The sequence below is a fragment of the Homo sapiens genome, chromosome 3 (assembly GCF_000001405.40).
Source record: "Homo sapiens chromosome 3, GRCh38.p14 Primary Assembly".
Taxonomy (NCBI): domain Eukaryota; kingdom Metazoa; phylum Chordata; class Mammalia; order Primates; family Hominidae; genus Homo; species Homo sapiens.
Window position 1 is genome coordinate 105,155,655 of NC_000003.12, and position 6,536 is coordinate 105,162,190.

Genomic DNA, 6,536 nt, shown 5'->3' on the forward strand with positions numbered 1-6,536 from the left:
ACTTTCTCTAAGAAAAATAAAAATCCACATATATTTAATTTTAAAAATATATAAATATAAAATTAATATGATATTCTAACTACTAAAGCTGCAAATATAGATGCCCTGGTACTTATAGAAGCATCAGCAAAGCCCCACGATAAATCTTAACATAAATTACTAATTAATGATATTTACCTACAACAAATGTACTATACAAAGGACACACTACACTGAAAAATTTCAACTGCTGCATTTATTGATATGCTTTTTCTTACAGAAAATACATTCATAAAACTCCAGAAATATAAGATTTTTTCAAATTATATTACCACAAGTAAATTTACAACTTTTCATAGAGATACTTCTCTCTAGCAATATAGCAGTAATCTTTAGGGCAAAAATGTCAGCAATGTGTTGTTTAAAGAAAATAACGGTCTAGTTTAGGAACTTCTTGTGTCATGGGAAACACTCAGGTTTCTAAGATGGAAATTCTGATGTATTCATGTGCAAATGATACTCTTTACTACTTATTCCACAGTGGTGCTTTGGGTTCTTTTCCTTGACCCACTTCCCTCAACTATTGGTTAGAAAATATTTTCTTGGCAAGCATCTGCCTACTTTGGGAAATTTCATTTCCTCTGTAGTTGAAGTCATACATGCAAAGATCCTTCATAAAGGAAAAACCACTCTCAGGGTTTTGTACGTATTAACACATAAATGTTGGTGTCACTGAGCAACAAAACAGTGGTTAACTCTGTGATATACTAACTGGTGTTTTGATACTATTTCTAAAAAATCTAATATTGTTTGAAATCTGTGCTTATTACCCACATGCATTTACCAAAGAATTAAAGTCGTATATATTAATTATTTTTCTCCAAGTATAAACCAAAAGTAAAATCCCAAGCCCCTCAACTGACTAAACAGACCACCTCTTGGCCAAGGCCAAGACCCTAGAGAAACCTGAAAAACTGAATTCCTGGCCATGATGGGAAGAGAGGTCAGAGGCGTCTCCTTATATCCCATTCCTTTTGGAGTATGGGCACAACTAACTAGCATTAAGATTAAAATAGAAATCTATTTTAATATTTGTGGCAATAAGACACCAAATCTCTTTGTGGCAATAAGACACCAAGTTTTCAACAAAACCTAAGACCATGCAAGCAAAGATTAAGTCACACCCTACAAAGAATAAAATGGAAATTTTCTTTTAATAACTCTGTATAAGGTGGCTTGCTTTTTGGATTTGCTCTAGTATAGCATCACATGACAGCAGAGCCTGAAGGAAATCAAAATATCCTACCCCCAAATATATTTATTTGACATATTTTGAAATGGTTCTGCGAAGCCATCTTTTGTGAGGGAAATTTGCATCTGTGGAGAATCTCCATTAATGCAGCCATGCCTTCCCTTTCTAGGCCTTTCTTGGATCTAGGAGAGATCAGAATCTCTCCTCTCAGAATCTCTAGCTGAGATTCTGACATATTTAAGGTCTGAAAAGAGACATTCACCATTTATTCTCTCTGAGGGCTGCTACCAGGAGACTTCATCTACATAACAAGGGCCTTGGTGGGCCCCCCACCCCTCAGTCTCCTTATTTTCATTCAAGCGTTCCTTTCTATTGACTTCAAGTCTTTATACAATAGCTTAACCCTCTCAACAAATTGTCAACTAAAGAATGTCTTATAAGGGCATTCTTCGAGATGACCCACCTTTTCTGGCTGAACCAACTTATACTTTCCATGTATTGATTTATGTCCTTGTTTGTAACTCTTGTTGTTACAGGAAAGGGGTCCCTATCCAGACCCCAAAAGAGGGTTCTTGGATTTTGTGCAAGAAAGAATTCAAGGTGAGCCGAAAAGGAAAAGCAAGTTTATTAGGAAAGTAAAGGAATAAAAGAATGGCTACTCCATAGACAAAGCAGCCCTGAGTGCTGCTGTTTGCCCATTTTTATGCTTATTTCTTGATTATATGCTAAACAAGGGGTGGATTATTCATGCCTCCCCTTTTAGACCATATAGGGCAACTTCCTGATGTTGCCATGGCATTTGTAAACTGTCGTGGCGCTGGTGGGAGTGTAGCAGTGAGGATGACCTGAGGTCACTCTCATGGCCATCTTGGTTTTGGTGAGTTTTGGTCGGTTTTTTTATAGCAACTTGTTTTATCAGCAAGGTCTTTATGATTTGTATGTTGTGCCAACCTGCAATCTCATCCTGTGACTTAGAATGCCTAACCATCTGGGAATGCAGCCCGGTAGCTTTTAGGCTTATTTTACCCAGCTCCTATTCAAGGTGGCGTTGCAATGGCTTAGACACCTCTGACACTGTCATGCTAAAATGTATAAAACCAAACTATATCCTGATTGTCTGAGGACCCCTTATTCAAGGCTTCTTGGGTTTGTGTTTTCTCTGGGATGCAGTAATTCATATTGGCTCAGAAAAATCTCTTTACAATGTTTTACAGAGTTTCTTTTCCATTAACACGAGACTTATTTTAAAATTTTAAACATTTTTGTTCATAAAATTAATACAATTCTCACTGTTTAAAATGTGAAAGTATTGAAAAACAAAGGTAATATAATAAAATCATCCACTTTCCCACACTAAAGATGTTAATGTTATCATTTAAGTGGATTTTCTTCTGAATATACATTATGATACAATGTATCTCCTAAAAACAGAAAAGGTGACACAAAAGCTAGGGAATTGAGAAAAAGACCAAAAATAAATACAAAAAAACTGTGGAACCAACATAAGTTTCCATATATATGTTATTTGAGCACTCAAAACATGACATCAACAAAATACCTCCTTTTAGTCACTAAGTTCAACTTCCTTCCTCTTCAAACTTTTGTAGGACTTTCTGAAGAAACACTGGTAGAAATTAGAGAAATATTTGTAAGTCAAAAAAAAAAAGAGAAGTTGGAGAAAATGGCTTGAATGAAGCCAGGATAGTTCACAGACTAAGTAATCTATCTCTAGATTAAAAAACAGAAATTTACATAATGTATTCTGAAGTAATTATTCTGAGTTACTTAAGCAGATAACTCCTTACCATTTACATCTTGCATCCAATTTTCGCTTAATGCTAATAATTTCTTAAAGGTTCATTGCCTAAAAGCTCAAGGTAAAATCTAGACTGAAGTTTAATTATATTGATATTTCCAGGTGCTACAATATTCGAGTTGCATGAATACATTTTAAATATAGTTTACTGTTGACTATTCAACAAGAGCCTACCTACTTTATAATCATTTTGAAATCCCTTCAACTATTTTTAACGAGAGACATTCAGCTATTGCTAGCCTGCCAGCTGCATGGCCTTACACTAAGCAGTGAAGCTGCTTACACTAAGCAATGGAGCTGGATATGTAAAATATGTCAAAGGTATGGCCCACAGTGACTGGCACATAGTGTGTGTGCAGTAAATTTAGTTCCTATTTACTTCTTTCACAAAATAGATGTGACTTTTATTATCAAGTCCTGTTTTTTCTTATCTGATGCTTTATTCTTCTCATCTAGTACAATGCCTGTCACAAAATAAGATATCAATATACAAAAATAAATAGCAGATAAAAAAGAGGCATCTAGGAATTTAACTTTAGATATCTTTATTTTTTAAATTCTCTTCCATGTATCTTCAAAATTGTAAGAATTTGCATTTTACTACTTAATAAAACTATTGGTTATTTTGAACAGAAATGTATTTAAATTTACTGCCATGAAATAAATTGATTGCATAGGAAGATGTACTGTGTTTGCATTAAGCATTCAGGTCCTCCCAGAACACTATCACATATATCTGTGGCATGTGCCCCTCAGTTGAAGAATATCTGACAGAATTTTAATAAAGTTAATAAAAATATTACTTGCTAACCTTTAAAAAAACTCCAAAATAATCTCAATTTTTAAAAATCTATCTTTATTAGAGCAATAAATGATTATATAAAAGATTTACATATTGAACAACTCAAAATGAATTCAGGGCCTTTAATGATGAAAATAGATAACCTATCTTATGATAAAAGCCTATCCTCATTCTGACAGTTGTCTACATCAGAACACTGACAGGGTGCCCAAAATCCACAGTGGGAATCTAAACTCCGCTTTTATAAATTTGAAGGCCTATAGCAATTTGTTCTCAAACAATCTTTGACACCACTGCATTCACCTAATAATTTCACAGCAGAAAACACCAGCCTGATAACAACATATTTCAATGAGTTTTGATTGAATAACTCTCCTTCTTGGCACAAGCTGTAATAGCTTCTACATTCGGTAGCAAATGGCTTTTGATGCTAAGCCAAGGAAAGTGTTATCAAGGGATAGAGGTAATGTATACTTTGGGAAAATCCATCTGCCACATTAGAGTAATCTTCTAAATCTCAGTACTAGTCACGTCACATTTGTCTTCAAAAACTTCAGTGACTCCCCTTCATCTAACAAATAAGTCCAAACGTGAAGCATAGGTTAGGATAGTTTAAGAGCACATAAAACTGATACCTGACTATTAAGGATTAATAAAATAGTGATTTTTTTCACATATCATGAAGTCAGAAGTTAGTAAAGGAAAGGTAGAATGGCTCCAAAACATGAAAGAAATTAAAGTTTTTTTCTGTTGATTCATATGAAGCTTTTGTTTTCACATTTGTTTTGGTGTGATTGCAAGGTTGCTATTGTCTTCATCACTGCATCTACAATTAATGCAAGAAAGAATGGAGGAAGCCCTGCATGCTGCCCAGCAATCTTTCCTGCTGCATTCATTTCTCCACTGCCCAAGGACTATTTCATATGGCATCTCCTTAAGCCTCCATGCCTCCATACCACATCTTCACTTTCAGCTGATGACCTTGCTTCATAGTTCACTGAGAAACCTGAAGCAAGCAATAGAAAATGTCTATGAGCTTCCATCATCATATTTACTCCCACCAGCTTCAAGGTTGTATATTTTGCCAAAATGTTTTCTTGTTTACAAGATCTTATTCCATCTCAACCATGAGAGAATGTTGTTCTCCATCTCTGATTATTTCCGATCAACAAGTAAACATGCCATCATTTTTCTACCTTAGTTTAAAAAAACAAACAAACTTAAGTCCATACCTGTCTTTATTTATTGTGCATTCCTTCAAAGAATGATTTGTATATTATAACTGCTTTCGATATTTTTGTTGTCATTTTCTCTTGACCACAATTAAACCAGGTTTCAGTTCCCAACACACCAACAAAATGCTTCTTGCCAAGCTCATCAATGATCTCCACATTGCCAAATCCAGTAGACATTTTCAATTTTCTTTTCACTTGTATTACAAGTAAGCATTTGAAATAGTTAATCTCTCTACCTGCTTTGAAACTTTCTTCACTTGACATCCAGAATGCCCACTCTCTTCATTCTCTTCCTATGTCTCTGGCTGATCCTTCTAAATCTCCTTTGGTAATACCCTCTCTCCAACTTGAACTCTTGGCATGGGAAAGCCCCAGGACTCCGCTTCTCCCCTCCCCTCCCCTCCCCTCCCCTCCTCTTGTCTTCTCTCCACCAAATCCTGTGATCATCTTGTGCAGTCTCAAATCTTTAAAATTGTTTTTACGCTAACAGTAGCCAATATATATTTCCAGTCAAGATTTTTCCCCTGTCAAATTCCACTTTGACAACTCTACATGAATGTCTGATAACTCTCAAATTTTCAAGTCACAAACCAAATTTCTGATTTCTAAACCCATTAGGAAAGCAAACAATGAAACAAACAGAAAGCCCATTTTCTCCCAAATCTTTTTTTATCTTAATTTCTCAATAGCCATAACATTTTATCATTATCTTAGTACAAATTCTCAGCATTTTCAAGTCCTAAGTTGTCTCACATTTTAACATGTAATCTTCCAGAAACCTCCCTTCAAAGTACAGCATACCCAGACCCTGACCACTTCTTCCCACCTTCCTATTACTACCCTGTGTTGAATCACTATCATGTCTCACCTGATGACTCTAACAGTCTTGTCACTTGCTTCGCTGACATCAACTTTGACTCTTTACCATCTACTATCAACACAACCGCTAGAGAAATCCTGTTAAAAACCATGTCAAAGCTTGTCATTTCTTGGCTTGAAATTTCTAATGGCTTTCAGTCTCACAGAGTAAAATGCCTAAAAGATTCTAGAGCATCTACCTCTTGATAATTCTTCTCTGCCTTCCTTTCCTACTGTGCTTGCAATTCCTTGAACACAGTAAGCACATTCTTCACAGTTTTAGTACCTCATCTCCCTTATGCCCTGAATTCTCTCTCCCCAGAAATCAACAGGTGCAGTGCACTTTCTTACCTTTAAGTCTTTGATCAAATGTTCTCTTTTCAATGAGGCCCACTCTCATTGGTCATACTATTTAAAAGTAAAACATTTTTCCTGTTTGATATTCTTTCCAGGTTACTTATACCATATTATATATTTTGTATGATTCTTTTTCTGATGTGTTGAATGTCATCCTTTGCTCCATTAGAAAATTAAGTTTATCCACATCAGAGACTGTGTCTGTTCTTATTGTTTTATTTCATTACAGTATCTCCA

At 35.2% G+C, this 6,536-nt stretch overlaps 1 annotated feature.

The window, feature by feature from the left end:
* Nucleotides 1,315–2,148: an enhancer, noted in NCBI's record as "OCT4-NANOG hESC enhancer chr3:104875813-104876646 (GRCh37/hg19 assembly coordinates)". NCBI's record gives its function as "activates a minimal SCP1, AML or CMV promoter by ChIP-STARR-seq in naive and primed H9 embryonic stem cells {active_cell/tissue: H9 hESC(naive and primed)}" and the evidence as "EXISTENCE:reporter gene assay evidence [ECO:0000049][PMID:30033119]".